Below are 19416 nucleotides of genomic sequence, written 5' to 3' on the forward strand. Positions count from 1 at the left end.
GATGCTAAATCTTTAGGGATGGCATATAATTCACTTAGTGATTTGTTTTTTGACAACAGAAGTGGTTTGCTTTCCATAAGAATGGATTCATCAGCTTAAGTTCATTCCAAAATGTCATCTACAATGTGCCCTCTTATTTACTAATGTCGTGCAGAGAGACATTTTCTTAAGAAAAAAAGTTAATCCTTTCCTCTGCCAAACAATGAACTTTTGGTAATGGAAATGCAAATAGAAGCACAATTCATTAACGTTTAAATTTTTCCCTGGCCACACATATAACTGACATAGACATGTAATGTAGATGGTATATCCAAATACATAAAAACACACACGTGTGCATGCACACACACATACACAGAGCTATCTTAGTTTGCCTTACATGCTGGTAAAGGTGTATAGTTTGTTTATTCTTGCTGCTTTGAAGTTTCTAACAGTCCTGTACTAATTTGTTTAGTTTTGTTTTATCATGAATTCTAAGTTTGCACGTTGTAGAATTCTCTAAAAGCTGTAGAAAAAGCAGTGAGCAAGAGTCAGTGATTTTAGTCTCATCTCTGCCACTACTTGGCCTGTGACCCTAGACATTACCTCATCTCTTTGGATCTTAATTTCCTTAAGCATAAGATAAAGTTGCAGTAAGAAAATGGGCTTCAGAGTCTGATGGATCTGGGTGACTGGGCAAGTTCTTTAGCTTGTCAAACCTTCATTTCTCTAATTTATAACATAAGGACAGTACCTTCTTCCTGTCAAGGTTGAGGCAAGCATTAGTGAGAAACGTCTCAAGGCCTGGTTCACAGTGAGTATTTAATTATTTGCTTCCCTTGTCCTGTCCTCTGGATATTGAGAGCTGACGCCTTCTACCCAAAGGAGCAGCAGATGTGGAAATCCACTCTTTAGCTTGTTGGAGGTCAGGCTGTTTCAGCTTTTACAGGGCAGAACTGGACTTCTTCTATTCTATTCTCTTAGTGATCAAAGTAGACATGCCTAGAAAAGGAGTGTGTTGGAGACATCATCCATTACATATCACAGTCACTGTGAGCACTGTACCAGATAAGGACCTAGCCCTGTGCAAAAGCAGGGATGGGCACACACCCATGACAATTTAGACTCACTGTATGCAAGATTGAGTCAGCCATTGCATGCACTTTATGTTTGAAATGGAGTCTCGCTCTGTTACCCAGGCTGGAGTGTAGTGGCATGATCTCGGCTGACTGCAACCTCTGCCTCCCAGGTTCAAGCAATTCTCTTGTCTCAGCCTCCTGAGTAGCTGGGATTGCAGGTGCCTGCCACCACACCCAGCTAACTTTTGTATTTTTAGTAGAGATGGGGTTTTGCCATGTTGGCCAGGCTGGTCTTGAGCTCCTGACCTCAGGCGATCCACCTGCCTTGGCCTTCCAAAGTGCTAGGATTACAGGTGTGAGCCACCACACCCAGACCACTGCATGCGCTTTTATGAGGTTCTTGCTTCCTCTTATATGAGCACATAGACAATAGGAGAGAAGAGGTAGGAAGGAGGGTAGAGATCCCATCTTGGCTACATGTTACTCTGATGGTGTCAGAGTAAATCCACAAGGGAGTCATCAAAGATCAGTTATCAAGAAACATGTTTACAATCTATGACTTATAACCTCTTTTTTAAGATACTGTTTTCTCTCAGTAACCAATTGGTTTCTCTCAGTTAAAGGTCAAAAAAGAGAGAAAACATCACTGTTCTCTTCAGCAGAACTTTTGTCAGTGTGATCGAGAATTGTCTCAAGTGACAAGTGAGCTGACCAGGGTAAGACATAGTTTCCTGTGTCTGTTCTTGGCCTTGTTACTTTCCGGGAAGGGACAGATTCCAGAGGACCCCCTCATTGTCCTTGCCCTCAGCCTCAAAATGTGGATTGGGAGTTAGAGTTTTTTTTTCTAGGAACAGAAAACCTCATTTCTTTTTCTTTTTTTTCACACGGAGTTTTGCTCTGTCACCCAGGCTGGAGTACAGTATCACGATCTCAGCTCACTGCAACCTCCACCTCCCAGGTTCAAGTGATTCTCCTGCCTCAGCCTCCTGAGTCTCTGGGATTACAGGCAACCACCACCTTGCTGGGCTGATTTTTGTATTTTTAGTAGAGACGGGGTTTTCCCGTATTGGCCAGACTTGTCTCCAACTCCTGGCCCCAACCAATCTTCTGGCCTCAGCCTCCCAAAGTGCTGGGATTACAGGAGTGAGCCACTGCACCTGGCCAGAAAAACTCATTTCTTGTCCTGGCTTTGCTACTAACTCGCTTGTAACCTTTAGCTAATCTTTTAATTTTCTGGGCCTCGGTTTCTACGTTTTTAAAATTGGAGAGTTGAAATGATTGATCTCTAAGATATTTAGTACTAGTGTTATATAATTTCAGCATAGAATTTTTCTCAAGTATGTTCTAATACATGTGTCTCAAAATTCCCTAATTTGCACGTCACCTCACTCTACAGTTTTTCCCTTTGTCTATGCATTATATAGGCTAGACGATCATTTGTGGAATATTTTTATTTCAGTCCCTTTTGAAATTTATCTTCCTGAGCTGTAACATTCATGAGCTTACAACTTGATGGTATACACACACACACACACACACACACACACACACACACACACAAAATCCCCAGCTATTATCTTTTTTGTGTTCTTACATGTAATAACATATATTGGGAAATGCTACCATAGTATAGTATTTTGTGAGACAGATTAATATACAATACTCAAACATTGATCTTTATCTTGAGTGGCTTATCCAGTGAAGATCAAAAACAATGTGCCAATGTTTATGCTGGTCTATCGCCATTTCCCACTCACCAGGAAAAATCTGAAGTACGATATTGTTATTGTTCTAACAACCTTTGAGGAATGCGACTTGCTCTTCTTGGTAACACCTGTTGGTTTACACCTAGAATTCTGTGCAACACAGATGTAACATAGCTTGCAAGACCAGAAAATCAAAGAAAGATGCGGAAGGGGGGTTAGAACATTATTTAGATCAAATTATGAGTAATAGAATGTTACTTGTTTCACCGAGAAAGCATTGAATCATCTGACAATGCATTGTGTATGTCCTCTCTCTTCTATATTTTTGGCATATGAGCTAGGTTGTATATACACCTTCTTTAAGTCCTCTTTTAGATATTTAAAATATTGAATGTGTACACATTTATTTAATTAATCTTCATTTATTTAATTAATCTTGGAAGATGAATAATTTCTTGTACATCTTGGTTTTGAAAGAGTTCCATAAGAATTAGAATTCATGAAACACACAGCAAGTTTAACCTAGCCTTCATTTTTGAAATCACCTGATATCAATTAGCATTCCTCCAGTTTGGGACTGATTTATGATGCCCTTGTAAGGCCCTGAAAATATGAAAGCAGAGAAGCAGTATTTCAAAATGCAGCATAAAATCAACAATAAAATGTATATTTATAACCTGAAAAGTATGATTTCATCTTGGAGAATTACCAACCCAATAGCAGTAATAAGCATGATTTTCATTGTACCATATTGTACTTATTAAGCACTTCAGGGGACTTGTGAATAAATCAAATTGTGGGATCAGTTTTGGATATCTGAACACATTTTTAAATATTGTAAAAATGTGGAAAAGTATCACAACTGGTTATCATTTGTTCATGCTTTCCAAAGGGTTTTAATCGTAAGCTCATTCTTACATCCTCCTACAAGCTGGACTAAGGTTGGAATGGCCCTTAAAGTGAGGACCTTTGAATAAATGCAGGTTTAATATGGTCAAGAGATAAGATTAGATCCTTCAAAAATCCCATTCAAATACCACAGATTCTAATTTATGCTCATAAAAGTCAGGGAAAACTAGGTGGTTTGGAGGATGCAATGTTATCAGAGAATTTAGGGTGATGTACATGCCTGCTTTGGATTTAAACTTTAATAAAAATATTCAGGATGGAAAGTTAAGGCATTGAATTGAAATGTCCCAACTTGCTCTGTTTGCATTATGTTGGCTTCCACAAGTCAAGTCAATTCAATCCAACAAGTATTTGTTGACAGTGTACAATGTGTCAGGAAATGTGACAGGTGTGGGGGCTACAAAATCAAGAGATAGCAGTTTGGGGGAGCTCTTGCTGGCATACAGATCAGTGTGACAGAGCTGAAGTTCCAGGTTGACCCCAGAGCATAGCCTTCCCAGATTTGGATAGTATTCTGAATTTAGATCAATTATCATGCATTCCAATGGAAAAGGGATGTATAGCTTGGCCTGATCTGCAGAGATCAGTATCCCCAATGAGTCATTCTAGGGTGATCCCAGGTTAAGTCCCAAGTAGCAGTGGGGTTAAGCTGGAGTGTCTGGCAAAAGTGTCTCAGATGGATGGTTCACCTAATGAGAACCTCCATAATCAGGAGTAGGTTGGTAACAGGGGTTTCTCTAAGAAGCTTTAGGATCAGGACAAATAAACAAGATTTTTAAAAATCCCAACATTTTATTGACATTACCTTTTTTTATAGGGTAATTAGATCATAGGTTCTATAGCTGAAAGCAAAACAAACCACTTTTGCTTCAGGGTTATACGCATGTCAGGGTGTAAGCCTCCCTCCAGGTTTCTCAAAGGGAATGATAGACATGAGAGAGCACTAAAGAATTGTGTCAGGATGGCATGCCTTGAATTGGAGGTCTACTCACGCAGCCCTGCCCTGGCCCATATCACACATGCTGGAGACCCAGAGTCTCTGCCTATGAACCTTTGGGTTCTTGCCTACAAAGTAGCTGACCTACAGCTTCTGTAAGCCAAACTGACATCACTTATCTGATTCTGTTGTCTCTTTACAGTGTTAATAATTCTGGGAGGTGATGAGGAGCAAAGGAAAGCAAGTAAAAGGATATGGAGGTTATTTAAAATGTTTTCTATTTATATTCCAATGGGTTGCATGTTTTCAGTTCCAAATTTGCTTGGATACCAAATTCTAGTTCTTACTAAACAATGGAATATTGTGGTAGTTTTGGAAATAAATATAAAATTGGATGACTATCTTCTCACACTTTACTATTCCATCCTCCCTTGGTAACATGCATAGAGTACCTATCTTGCCAGAGAAATGCAGACTGCAGACAGGGGCCACATCTCAGTTGCAAAGTCTAATAAAGGGGACTGATGACACAGATGCTTCCAGTGAGTAGATAATTTGAATATCACTTGCATTTGTGTGTGATCATACCAGTACTAAGACTGATAATAACGGCTACCATTTGTTAAGTGCTTACTTTGTAGGAAAATAACTGTGCTATGTATTTTATATAAGATCCTCCTTTTGAGCCCCACAATATTTCTATGAATTAGCTATCATTACATCAGTATACTTAAAATAAAAAAAATTTAAAGCTCAGAGAAGTTTACTTCTGAGCTGGATCTAAAACCAGCCATTTTTCTTCCACAGCCCACCCATTTTTATTCTTACCCTATACTGCTTACGTTGAGATAATATATCAAGGTTTTCTGATATGCTTTTCATGTTTTTATGAGACTGGGAGTAAACCCCTCTGGAAAACCCCTGGATGGATCATTTGAACCCTGGAAAAATAGACAGTGAGCCAGTGTATTTCAAACTGGATTTTAGCCAGTTAACAGATCACGAAATCAATTATTAGTGGATTGTAATCAGTAATTTTTTAAAAAGGAAATAGACCATAGAATAGAAAATATCAGAATACATAGAACTGAAGCTAACTGTTATTTCATGAAACTTTTGGCATATATATTAAATAAAAATATTATATATTATGTATTATATAATTTTGGGTATATATTTTATATAATATTTATGTGTGTGCATGTGTGTACTCACAATGTAAAATATTTTTTTTTACTGTGAATTTTAGTCACAAAATTTGAAAACCACTGCCTTAGGATATAGATAGGGTGAGCAGGGAGTAAGACTTATGGTGTATAAGGAAGGAAGAAGAATTTGGGGTTATTTGTGGGGGTCAAGCTAGGGAGGAGCAAGGAGGAAGTCAAAGGGAAGAGCAAGGAGACCCCAGTAGCAAGAAACTGTCGCCTGTAACGTTGGGAGGATATACTGGATAAAGGTTGGAACAGAGGGATGTTGACTCTTGTGCTAAGGAATGTGGACTTGATTTTCTGGGAGTGGATGGAAATCCATCAAACAAATTTGAACCAAAATGTGACATGACAAAGCAGTCCCTTGGATGGAATAATCAGGCCACTGTATGTATGATGAATGACAGGTACAGAGACTGGAGCAAGGTGTACCATTTAGGAGGCTTTTGAAATAATCCAGGTCAGGGACACTGAGTGCCTTGAATAGGCAGAGAGGAGTGGGAAAAAAGAGGTGGGAGATACAGTAAACATGAATATGGAAGTAGAGGCAAATGACTGGGAGATAGGCAGAACCTTTGACTAACATAGAAACAGGGCAAAGAAGCAGGCCTCGAGGGTAAGATGATGAATTCAGTTTGGCACATGCCCAGTTGATCCGCAGGAGGGACATCTAAAGTGGATGACTACAAAGCAGGGAGCCATGGAAACATGAAGCTTGGTGCAATGTAGTTGAGTAAAAGGGCTAACACACAGTTGAGCTAGGCAACAATGCAGCATTCTCTATATAGGTGCTGACTGAATGGTTGATCTTGGTGACAGCGGTGGGATATATGCATTTTTCATCTTGATACTCCCTCCATTAATATTGAAAGAGCAATGAGACATTTGTCCACTGGCCTGTGGGATGTTCCAGACTTTGGGATTTTAAGACAGCATTAATACAGAGGAATTGGTTTTGATGGAATGATTATCAGTATTTTTAAGCATGGTTATGTTTGTCAAATATCTGTTTTGTTTTAGAGAAAAGTCTTTTCCAATGAAATGACTAATGGTCTTAGCATCTTTGGGATTAGGATCCTTGGGATCCTTGGTCTTAACATCCTTGGAATGCTTAAGGGTCTTGGCAACCTTATCAACCTTGGTCTTAGCATCCTTGGGATCCTCTTGATTGTTGTTCTTGTCAGGAGAAGGGAGAGGCAACAGCCTACGAGCACTGAAAGTTGCCTAACAGTTGGGCATAAAGGAAATTTGCCTAGGCTTCTCCATGGAGGTCATCCCAAGAGTAGAAACATAACTGGTACCTTGTGATAGGATTATGTCTGCAGATAAGGCATCTTCTATTTGGATGCTTTTTGTGTGTGTGGAGGAACAACTTTTATCACTCCTAAGTGAAGTTTAACTTTGTGGCCTCATTTACAAGCATGAAACCACACGCAATGAAAACACATTTACTTCCCTAAATTTGGAGTTGCTTTGGCTTTTCTGGACCAGGTTTCCTAACAGTATTCAGTTTCATACCCTGAATGGATCCTGGTGCTGATGGTAGTCCTTTAGGTAGAGATTGGGCTGATGTTTTCCACCAAAATACTGACTGGTCTCTGCAACATGCACATGAACAGATGCATTTTAGAGCTTCAGATCCTGAGATGTAGTTCTTATTCCTTGATTGGTAGTATGCAAATGACAGGGATCAGGCCCTGGAGGTGGACCGAGGTCTCTAAGCTGCAGCAGTGACATGCAAGGTGACTTGTTCTAGGAGTTCCTGCAGAAACAGAGTTTGGTGATTTGTGGGCTTTTAACAGACTAAGTTACTTCCTCCATCGTGTCTACCCTGGTCTCTTAGTCTGCAGACCTTACAGTAAGAAATGCCCAATAACCAAGAAGCTGAAAGCAAAGCCATGGCAGGCTTCTCTGCCAGTCAGTGCATTCCTTAGGAGAGCCCTTGGTATAAATCCATTTCCCCATAACTGGTGAGTTGATTTTCACACCATAAAACCTCATCTTGTTAGCTGGAGGAAAATATCATGAAAGTAAGGTATGTCATTTCCATGAAAAGAGAAAAACCCTGAATCATAGTTATCTCTTTGAATACTCTATAACCAATTATTTATTATTTGTGCCTCTAGAAATTTTAAAAATGTATTAATTAAGAATCAATTGTGAGCTAAGGCAAATAAGATCAACGTGTTGTTTGCACACCTTATGATGGTTAAGACATTCCTAGAGTTAGTTTTGTCTGCTGTCAAAAGCCACTCATGGCCCCAGGAATTTAATATCCAGGAACCTGTAGAATTTATGGGGATAAGTGATCCCATGTGATGCTTTTGGGGCCTGGAAGGTCAGCACTAGATCTGGAGTGTAGGTTGACTTAGGATGGGGAAGCAGAGGGCCCTCAAAAGTAAAAGCGGTCCTGTTTGGGGAGTATGAGGAGCACTCTATGAACTAATAAATACCAATGAGGGTCAAAATACCTGGAGAATCCCTAGGACAAAGTATACCTCAAGCCACTGGCTTTATCTCTGTCTTCCAACCGTTTTGTGAATTACTATCTGTGGGAGGCTGAGAGAAAAGGAAGAAAGAAGTGTCTAGAATAAATATGGATTATAGTCAGAATAAATACAGGAGTCTAAATGAGACCTTAACCAACATTTGCACACTCTTCTGCCCTCATGCTCAATGGTTCAGGCAGTTGTGAAGTTCTTACGGCAATGAGCATACTTCTTTTATGTTTGAACCCCTAAGAGTTTCTAGTTTCTGGCTCATTGTGTTAAAAAATTACTGGACAAATGGATCATACAGAATATCTAATCTTTTATTTAAATAATTCCAGAAAAGAGGCTAAAACTTTTGCGGGAATTCACTGCAATATATCTGATCCGGGTTTTTTGTTTCATTTTTAAAAAGTGTTCTTAGAACTTATCTACTATACTGTATAGCATCTATTAAAGGCTTACCATGTGTCATTTATTGGGGTAAGGAGTTTACATTGTATTAAGAGCCTCTGTTGTAGGTACTATTTTTATTCTCATTTCTCAGATGAGAAGATAGAGCATGAGTAGGTCGTATAGGTAGAAAGTGATGGAGCTAGGAGTTTTTATTTCAGATTTTATGTCTGTAGAAAAAACATATTAGAGCTTATTATTTTAAAAAATAGTCACTTAACTGGCTAGGTTCCTAAGACAAGAATCTGTTCTTATCTATACCTAATTTCTCTTGTGTGGTCCTCCATGGCAATGAAGAAGGAGGGTCTGCAGGGTTTAGTCACTTCATTGTCTTGAAGACCACTCTGAAGTCATGCACTAAATTTTTTAACTTAAAAAATATGATTTGAAGTTTTGGAGCTCAGAAGACTTAGACATTTTAATTTTGATATCTCCAGCACCTAACATGCAGCCCGGCAGATCCAGTGTCAGGTTATGATCCCAGGCAGGGTCATGTGGCATATGCCTATGTGAACACTCTCTGTGCAGATGGTGCATCTAGAGTTGTGTGATGTCAGGCCCTAGGCCGCATTCTGTTCTAGTACCTTTCTGATACTAAAGGTGCCACACACTGCACCATCTCTCGGTAAGCACAGATTGATTATTCCAGGAGGAGCTCCAGATGCAAATGGACCTGAAACTACACGGTTCCTGAGGCATGGAGTGCAGAGCCCTCTGGATTTTGAGGTGGAAAACTCAGGGGCAGGTGAGGGGCCATCCAAAGGTTTGGTCTGCATCAGAGTCACAAATATGGTGTGTTCTTACTACTAATTCCTCAGAAACAGCTGCTGGTTGGAACATAGGCATGGTTTCGTGAACTTTTCTTTCCAGAGTCTCAGAAATTCAGACTTTTAAGAGGCGGTTGTGATGTATTAATGTATCATCAGATGTTTCCATGATTGATATTTGTGGAGACCAGGGTCAGGGATAGCAATTTTTCAGGGAATGTTTTGCTTTGTAGTTCCATTACAATAAACAGAATCTCATACACTCTTTGCAATTCTTTTCCACTTCATTTACTCCCACAGACATTTTTGCATTTCCTACTGTGTGCAAAAAAGGTGCTCGGGCTCCTGCCCGCTAGGGATTTAACGTTCACTCCTCTGTCAAAGAATGACATTTTTCTTCTGACGGGTGATTTGCTGAAATGTTATGTATGTGCACTGATTATATATATGCTACTTAAAACTTTAGTGGAATTATAAGGATAGCCAATAGGACAATATAAGCAAATGACTTTTTAAAAGTGAAAATTCTAAATTGTGAATATTTCAAAATTTCTGAAACTGATAGAATGTATTTTCATTTGAAGCCCCCTTGATCTGGCTTGTTAGTTTCTTCTTCCCTTTGTCTCTGGCTGGGGACTCCCTATGTCTCTCCTGTCTCTCCTCTTCTTCTGACTCTAGGACTTTGGGTCTTTCCCTTTCCCGGTAATGAGTCCTAACCATATCTTTCATTTACCCTGAGAACTGTATGTACTCCACCTCCTAACCTGTCAAACTCTCAGTAGTGAGTGAGTCTGGGTCTCCACCTGTTATACTTTTGCAAAATTATCTGGACAAGCTGAGGCAGAGACTGTGACTTGCTTCTCCCTTTAGGTTTGATATTCCAATGGAAGCGCTGCATGTGCGGCCAGGAGAGGGGTGCGCAGGGGTGGTCATGGCAGGCTGTGTGGACCTGGCACCCACAGCAGCCCTGTCAGCATTTGGGTGTCTGGATGTGGATTGTTGTCTTTGGTGAACATCAATAGCACATTTTCAAAGCCCTGCTGGCTGCTGCTTCTCACTGAGGATGCCATTAACCACCTCCCTCTAGACAGCTGATGTGTGTTCAAGGAATAAAAACTAATATGAATCCAGCATATGGACTGTAGACACAATTGATCTGAAATCTTCATAATCTGAGAAATAAACATCAGAATTTTTTCTGCATTAAAAAAATAGACAAGATATAAAACATAGCTGAATTTGTGAGATGGCTTTGGTGCTCCCTTCTCCCCACTGTAAGTCTTTGACTTCTTTAATGAAATAGGGCCAGAGTGCTCAGAGATAGGTGGTGAGGTCACAGTTGGGCCCTCTAGTAAGTCATGGATTCAACTGACTTAGGATATATAGTCTGTTTGGCTATTTGTATAGGATCTCATGTAATACCACTACAGTTTCTTTCTTGTGCCCTAACTTAACATCACGGAGCTTGGAAGCTCTCTGACCTTTACCTCTCTTCTGTGAGGCCTTCAGGTCTTTGGCTTCCTGTGTGATGATGTGTTGTTTTCCCTAGCATCTCTATTCTTTCTCCCATTCCTCCCTTCCCTGCAGGCTTCAATACTCAGATTCTACCTCTTCGGGTGCAAGAAACTGCAAGTCTTCCGTAATTCTGGGAAAAAAGTTGTTGTACTTGGGGTAAAAACATTTCAATTTTTGTTAGAAATCAGTAATGTGTGTGTCATTCATTCATTTATTTATTGGACAATTATGAAATTATTAAGTACCTTTTATTTGCCAGAGAACACTCTACAAGTTGGGAATACAGGGTTAAAATCTCTGCTAGACCAAATAGAAATTGGTACTATTTTCTCCTTATTCTTCAGGCATGGGTGTGTCTTATGTCTCAATTAAAGCGGCTTGAGAGGAGAGATTGCCTTCTGTCAACCACACAGGCAGTAGAATTCACACAGGCTATGGGTTTCTCCCCATCTCCTTTAGAGTGGCTCAGGCTGATGGTAATTTTGAGGGGCCAGAAAAATTTGGGATCCTTGCCTCCCCCAAGGGTAACAGTGTATTTGCAGAGTACCTGCTATTTGGAGCCACGTGGGAGGACTGGTGTCCTGAGGTAGTATATTTAGAGTGTCACCTATTTTCTAGGATGGGCCAAATGACAATTTCATGTCATTATTTGGCAGGGAGGGAAAGGATTAGTCTATCAAGCATGTAACTAAATATGATTTCATTTTACATCTTTTAAATATTCTCACAAATAAAAATACATTCTTGTCAAACTAGGAATCCTAACTTTGGGTTTAGAAATATATGCAGGGACATAATGTAAATGTACATTGATATTTTCAGTACTATCTCAGCACAACTGACATTTAGCTTGACTTGCAATTAAATTCTGTCAGCAGTTTCCAACACTAAAATTTTGCGTGGCCAAGTACACCAAAAGGAAGCCAGGGAAAGTCTTAACCTTGAGTTTGCTTTCTGTTAAAGGGAGTGTTTTTATGGATTTTATTAAAGATCATGCTTGTAAAAAGAATTGGGTACATTATTTTGCCAAAAAATAACTTGAAAATTAGTTTTTCCTCTTGCCTTTCCCACTGTATATGAACCTGAGAAAGAACAAATGTGATGCTGTGCTAGGTAAGAGACATGTGGCTGCAGATGGTCTGGAGAGCCTTGAGGCTACCCAGTTCAAGTCAGATGCACCTGGATCTTTTTCAGGGGTTGGGATAGAGGGGCTTGGAGTTTTTTGGCCTGGTAACTGATGTGCTTGATTAACTAACAGCATCAAATGAAAGCAGGCCAGGGCTTGGCTGTGAATTTCACTACCCTCTGCAGACTCACCTAGAGTCCTCCCACGTTGAGTGGAAGCACAGGCTTCTGTCTTTCATGTGTCTAATCTGCTTTTCTACTGCACACTCTCTGGTTTCTCCCATCATGATCCCTGGGAAAGAAGGAAGGTCCAGTCTCTTTCTGCCCCTCAGGAACAGCCTACCTTATTCTCTCCTTGGCTTCCTGCAGCAGCCAACGCTTCAGGCTTAGAAAGAAAAAGAAAACCCTAAAGGAGAGTGACATCTGCCAGAATGATTATTCCCACATTTAAGGCCTGACTTGGGTTAGCATGAATTGAAAGATCAACAGGCATGTATTTTTTTTTCTGAGGAAAATGTATCTTTCTTATTCTTTTTTACTGGGTGGGGTAGTGGGATGTGTATGGGAAAATCCAAAGACAGGGTGTACTGTGTGTTTCAGAGCTGTATGAATATGAGATATAATCCAGGAGTAGAACTCATGTCTACTCTCACCCCTTAGGCCTCTAGCGGAATTTGTGGAAAATGAAAATAAGACTTGAAATATTCCAGATATGGCTCACTGAGGCCACTTCTTCTTCTTTCTTTTTTCTTCTTCTTTCTTCTTCTTCTCACTTTGTTGCCCAGGCTTGAGTGCAGTGGCACCATCTTGGCTCACTGTGACCTCCACCTTCCGGGTTCAAGTGATTCTCCTGCCTCAGCCTCCCAAGTGGCTGGGCCCACAGGCATGTGCCACCACTTCTGGCTAATTTTTAGTGGAGATGGGGTTTCACCATATTGGCCAGGCTGGTCTTGAACTCCTCACCTCAAGTGATCTGCCCCTCTCAGCCTCCCAAAATTCTGGGATTACAGGCGTGAGCCACTGCGCCCAGCCCTCACTGAGACTTCTAATGTAAGTTGCTAACCTTGACTGAGTCAGTATTAAGTACTAGGTATTGTGCATGTACTTCATGTGCATCTTCTTTAATTTTTACAGGAACCCTGGGTGGCAGGTACTATTGGCACCATTTTCCAGATAAAGAAAATGAAGTTCTAAGCAGTCAAATGACATGTCAAGATCACCCAACTGGTAAGCGACTTAGGGGGTATTCCTGCCTTCCTCAAAGATGTTTGGGTTCCCCCAGTGAGGATCTCATAACATTGTTGATAGACATGTCAAGACACCCTCGAGTATACTAGCTGCAAATGTCCTGTCATACATCCCTGGTGCCACATGATGGTAGGCATTGTTGAGAACAGCTCCAACACCAGGGAGGAGGACATAAGGCGTATATGTAAGGAGCATCTATGATAGAATTCAAAACAAGCAGGGCACAGGCAGAGGGTCTTCTATAGTATTCTTTCATAACTGGGATACCTGTCTTCTTGTGAAGAGGACAGCAGCTACTTTTCATTTTTCTGAAACCTTAAGATTGTAGGGAGGCCAGGGGCTTGACAAAGCAAGCATATGTGTGTGAAATGTGTGTGTGACACAGACTCAGGTCTGTGTCAGTGTATGTGTGTGCAAGGGCACTGATGCTGGTTGGAATCCTTTTCCATCCAGAACCCAGTAAACCTCAGAGAGGGAGGCTTCTTGGCTAGACTCTATCTGACAGGACAGAGAGATAATGGTAGCCATTAGAGGGGATTCCAAGATAATGATTGGAAACCCAGCTTCATAGGCTCACTCATTTCACAAACCCAGAACTATGTCATGGACCAAAGAACACAGGGACAGAGTGAACTATGAGAAAACTTGCATATCTAGGCAAAGGCTGAGGGAATTTCCGAAATTATTTCTAATAAGATGTGAAAGTTAGGCTTAAAAGATACTTGATCTAGTATGTTCATACTTCATGTAGCTTAGAATAAGCTATTCAACAGTAAACTGCATGCTCAACTTGAGTAAGGATCTCTGCTCTACTGCTTTATAAATGAGACGAGAATGTGGTTTGTGGCATCAGCATCAAATGGAAGATTGTTAGAAGTGCAGAATCTCAGGTCCCATCCAAGACCCACTGAATCAGAGTCTGCATTTAAAAAAGATCCCCAGGTAGGTTGGATGTACAGTGATGTTTGAAAACTACTCTGCTAAAACATACTAAACAATAGCACAATGTGCCAAAGATATTGATTAGTAGTCTCAACCCTGGCTGAATATTCCAGTCTTTGGGTGGCCCCACTCCAGACCAATTATATCAGATTTTTTTTTTTTTGGAGTAGAGGCCAGGCACTGGCATTTAAAAAAACTTGTAGGGTGCAGCTAAGATTGACAGTGCCCTGATTTAGATGGTAGGTGCCCCACATGAGTGGGTAAATGTTGCTTTATTGACTGGAGTTCTGAAAGAGTTGGCCCTGTGACATGGTATTACTTAACGTGTCTGTTAGTGATTTAGGAGAGTACATATAAGACATCCTGATTCCATCTGCCAATGATAGGGGATTGCACTATATTGCTAGCTAACATCCTGAAATTCAGCAGGATTAAAATGCTAAGTGATTGTGACAAGAGTGGAAAAAGTGTGGACAAGTGTGAAGGTCCTACTGATTCTCAGAGGACATTCATCCATTCATAACAAGAAATTGTCCAGCGGTCAAAGTGAAGAATGGCTCAGCAATGGAGGGCTGTGATTAAAAAGGCAGAGAAAAATAAGAGCATGAGAAATGTAGAGGAGAAACAAATCATTACATAGTCTTCCCCTGGTACTTGATATTGGTTAGGACTTTCTATGGCATCACCCAAGTTAGGATGCTGGAATTGAAGTGCAATTATGATGAGCTTTGGATATTTTCAGGGGAGAATAATAAATATCAGGCATAAAAAAGCAAAAGAGGCTGCTTTTATTTAGTATGCTGAAAACAAGACTAAGGGGAGAACTTAACATTTTTCAAATACAGGAAAAGGTGCTTTTACATGAAAGATGGTGATTAGCTGATCTTTTACCAGAAGGAGAAGAGAACAGAGAATAGACGTTAGGAAGAACTTTCTAACATCAAAAGTGGGCAGTCTCTGAAAAAGCTTGGGGAAAAGAAACCTATATCTACTAATGTTGCTTTGGGGCCCAAGAGGCAAAACGTGGTCTTCATGAGAAATCTGGAATGTAAGGCCCCCTACCAATGGGTAATAAAAGACTCCGGTAACTTTCGCTCTACATAGAAGGAATGAGACATTGCTCTGGAATCCTGAAAACATTGATGAAGTTAGTGCACCTTGAGTCTGCTAAACACCTGAGACAACTTTGATTTCTGCATATCCAGTCTTAGCCAAGTAGGACTAGAAGAAACTTCTTTATCCTAATTAAGGGCATCTACAGATGCCTTTCAGCAAACATCGCACTTGATGGAAAACATTTGAAAACTCTTAAAAATATTAATATATTATTTTAAATGGACAAATTATAATTGTATACATTTATGGGGTAGAGTATGATGTTTTGGTATTTGTATAGAATATGGAATTATTGAACCAAGCTAATTAACATATCCACCTCACTAACATCATTTTTTGTGTGTGTGATGAGAGCTTTGAAGTTTACACACTTAGCTGTTGTGAAATATATACTACATTATTATTGAATATAGTCACCTTGCTTTTCAATAAACCTCAAAAATGTATCTCTACTGTCTAACTAAAACTTTGCATCCTTTTACTATACTCTCCGGTCTCCCTGCTGCCTCTTGTAACCACCATTCTACTCTCTACTTCTATGAGTTCAAGGTTTTCAGATTCTGCAAATAAGTAAGATCATATAGTCTTTGTCTTTCTGTGCCTGGCTTACTTCACTTAGTATAATGTCCTCTAGGTTAATTCATGTTGTTGCAAATGACAGGATTTCCTTCTTTTTTTTTTTTTTGGAGACAGAGTCTTGCTCTGTCACCTAGGCTGGAGGGCAGTGGTGTGATCTCGGCTCACTGTGCAAGCTCTGCCCCCCCGGGTTCATGCCATTCTCCTGCCTCAGCCTCCCGAGTAGCTGGGACTACAGGCACTCCCCACCACACCCGGCTAATTTTTTCATATTTTTAGTAGAGACGGGGTTTCACTGTGTTAGCCAGGATGGTCTCGATCTCCTGACTTCATGATCTGCCCACCTTGGCCTCCCAAAGTGGTGGGATTACAGGCGTGAGCCACTGCGCCTGGCCAGGATTTCCTTTGTTTTGTGACTGAATAGTATTTTATTGTGTATATATGTCACATTTTCTTTATCCACTTACCTATTGATGGACACTTAGGTTGATGCCATATCATGACTGTTGTGAATAATGCTGTGGTGAACATGGGAGTGCGGATATCTCTTCAACATATTGATTTGAAATCCTCTGGATATGTACCTAGACAGAGGATTGCTGGAGCATATGGTAGTTCTATTTTTAGTTTTTTGAGAAACCTCCTTACCACATTCCACAATGGCTGTACTAATTTGCATTCCCATCAATATTGTACAAGGGTTTTCTTTTCTCCATATCCTTGCCAACACTTTTGTCTTTTTAATAGTAGTTGTTCTAATAGGTGTGAGGTAATATCTTATTGTGGTTTTAATTTACATTTGCCTAACGATTAGTGATTTGAGTATTTTTTCATGAACTGTTTTCCATTTTTATATCTTCTTTTGAGAAATATCATTCAGTTCTTTTGTCCGTTTTATAATTGGGTTCTTTGTTTTCTTGCTATGAGTAGTTTGAGTTTCTTATATATTTTGGATATTACCTCCTCATCAGATGTATGGTTTGCAAATACTTGCTCCTCTTCTGTGGATAGTCTCCTCACTTTGTTGTTTCCCTTGCTGCACAGAAGCTTTTTAGTTTGATGTAATCTGTTCTGCCTATTTTTGCTTTTGTTGCCTGTGCTTTTGGGATCATATTTAAAAAATCAGTGCCTGGACCAGTGTTGTAGAGCTCTTTAACTTATGTTTTCTTTTAGTCGTTTTAAAGTTTCAGGTCTTACATTTAAGTATTTAATCCATTTGCATTTATTTTTGTATATAGTGTGAGATAAGGATCCAGTTTCATACTCCTGCATGTGGCTATTCAGTTTCCCAGTACCATGTATTGAAGAGACTGTCTCTCTCTCATTGTATGCTCTTGGCACCTTTGTTGAAATTCAACAGACAATAAACACATGGATTTATTCCTGGGCTCTCTATCCTGTTACACTGGTCTTTGTATCTGTTTTTACGCCTGTACCATTCTGTGTTGATAACAATAGCTTTATAATATCTTTTGAAATCAAGGAATGTGATGCTTCCACCTGAAAACATTATCTTGAAGGTTGCAAACAAGACAAAGTTGCCTCTGTCACCACTTCTGTTCAATTGTACTGACATTCCCAAACGATGTGTAATACAAGAGAAAGAAATTATACATATGCAAGCCTTAGAAAGGAGGAAACAAAACTATAATTCACAGATGATATGTATAACTAGGGTTGATTAGAAAACCATAATGAATCTTTAAAGAAATGACTGGAAATACTAGCAGAGTTTGACAATGTTGTTGGATATAAAAATCAATATAATAAAATCAATCACATTTCTATATACCAACTACAATTGAAAACTAGTTTAGAAAGATAGCATTTACCACAGAATAAAAAAAAAATTTAAAAACTAGAGTTTTGCTTCCAGTAATGGCTGACTACAATATTCCAGACCAATCTTTATAGAAAAGCTGGATAACATACAGAAGGTTGTTGGAAGATGCAGAGAGAATTTTCAGGATCAAGGCCTGGAATAAGAGGGAAGCTACAAGAGAAGTGAGTTTAGCATTTGGAGGTTGCTTTTCATCTTGAGGTAAATGCAGATTCTGAAATCAAAAGCAATGACTGAGAGATCCAGAAGCTGGCCAGAGCTTTCAGCACTCTAACAGGACTGGAGTGACAAAAGGAGTAGGTCAAGGCCCATTAATAAGGAGGTGCTCTGATAAACACCCCAGGCTTTCAGTTGGAACCCTAAAGGATTATATGCTAGGAGTAAGAGTGAACCTGAGCAAGTCAAATCCTCACAGGACTAGAGCTCAAAACAGCCTAATTTTTATTGGATTAAGGTGATTTGCTCCCACCCTAACTGTCTGAAGAATAACAACATCATTCAGAGTAGCATATTGCTTCTATAATTTGTCCTACGAAATGTCTGGTATGCTATCAAAAATAATTGGGTATACAAAAATATAAGTGTATTAGCCCATTCTTACACTGCTAATAAAGACGTACTTGAGACTGGGTAATTTATAAAGGAAAGAGATTTAATTGACTCACAGCTCAGCATGGCTGAAAAGGCCTCAGGAAAATTACAATCATGGCAGAAGAGGAAGCAAACACGTCCTTCTTCACATGGTGGCAGGAAGGAGAAGAATGAGAACTGAGCAAAGGGGAAAGCTCCTTATGAAACCATCAGATCTCATGAAAACTTACTATCACGAGAATAGCATGGGGAAAACCACCCCCATGATTTAATTACCTCCCACCAGGTCTCTCCCATAACACATGGGGATTATGGGAACTACAATTCAAAATGAGATTTGGGTGGGGACGCAGCTGAACCATATCACTAAGACCTAATCAAAAAACAAGAGAAAAAAGATACAATACAAGCATACTGAACAGAGAGATTCAGTTATTAGAGTTAACAGATATAGAGTTTAAAATAACTGAGATCAGCATATTAAAAGAGCTAAAATAAAATATGGAAGACATTGGCGAAGAATAGGAAAAAAGAGCCGAATGGAAATTCTAAAATGGACAAATGCAATACTAAATTTAACAACCAATGGAAGGATTTAACGAGTATACACAGCAGATGAGAGAATGAATAAACTGGAAGATAGATCAGAATACAATATCTCTACTGAAGCCTGAAATGATAAAGGATGGACATGGGCGACTATAGAAAGAGCATAAGAGGCATATGAGGCAGAGTGAAAACGACTAACAAAAGTTGGTGAGGGAGAATGTGGCAGAAGCCGTATTTGGAGAAGTAACAGCTGAGAATTTTCTAAAATAGATGAAAGGCCTCAAGCCACAGGTTCAAGAATTGCCATAATCCCCAAACAGAAAAAATGAGAAAAAAACCATATCTGGGTACATTTTCTTATTTCTTTGATTCCAGTATTTCTTTCAG

At 39.7% G+C, this 19416-nt stretch overlaps 1 long non-coding RNA gene across 3 annotated transcripts in view; it reads left to right on the top strand.

The window, feature by feature from the left end:
- The first annotated feature begins 629 nt into the window (after positions 1–629).
- LOC102723803 (uncharacterized) overlaps positions 630–19416 on the top strand; it is a 182624-nt gene continuing 163837 nt past the window's right edge. For all 3 annotated transcript variants that reach the window (XR_002956872.2, XR_929415.3, XR_428436.4), the window contains exons 1-3: positions 630–793; positions 1676–1774; positions 13302–13394. This is a non-coding gene — a long non-coding RNA (uncharacterized LOC102723803). The remainder of the gene's footprint in view (positions 794–1675; positions 1775–13301; positions 13395–19416) is intronic.

This window comes from Homo sapiens, chromosome 9 (genome assembly GCF_000001405.40).
Source record: "Homo sapiens chromosome 9, GRCh38.p14 Primary Assembly".
Taxonomy (NCBI): domain Eukaryota; kingdom Metazoa; phylum Chordata; class Mammalia; order Primates; family Hominidae; genus Homo; species Homo sapiens.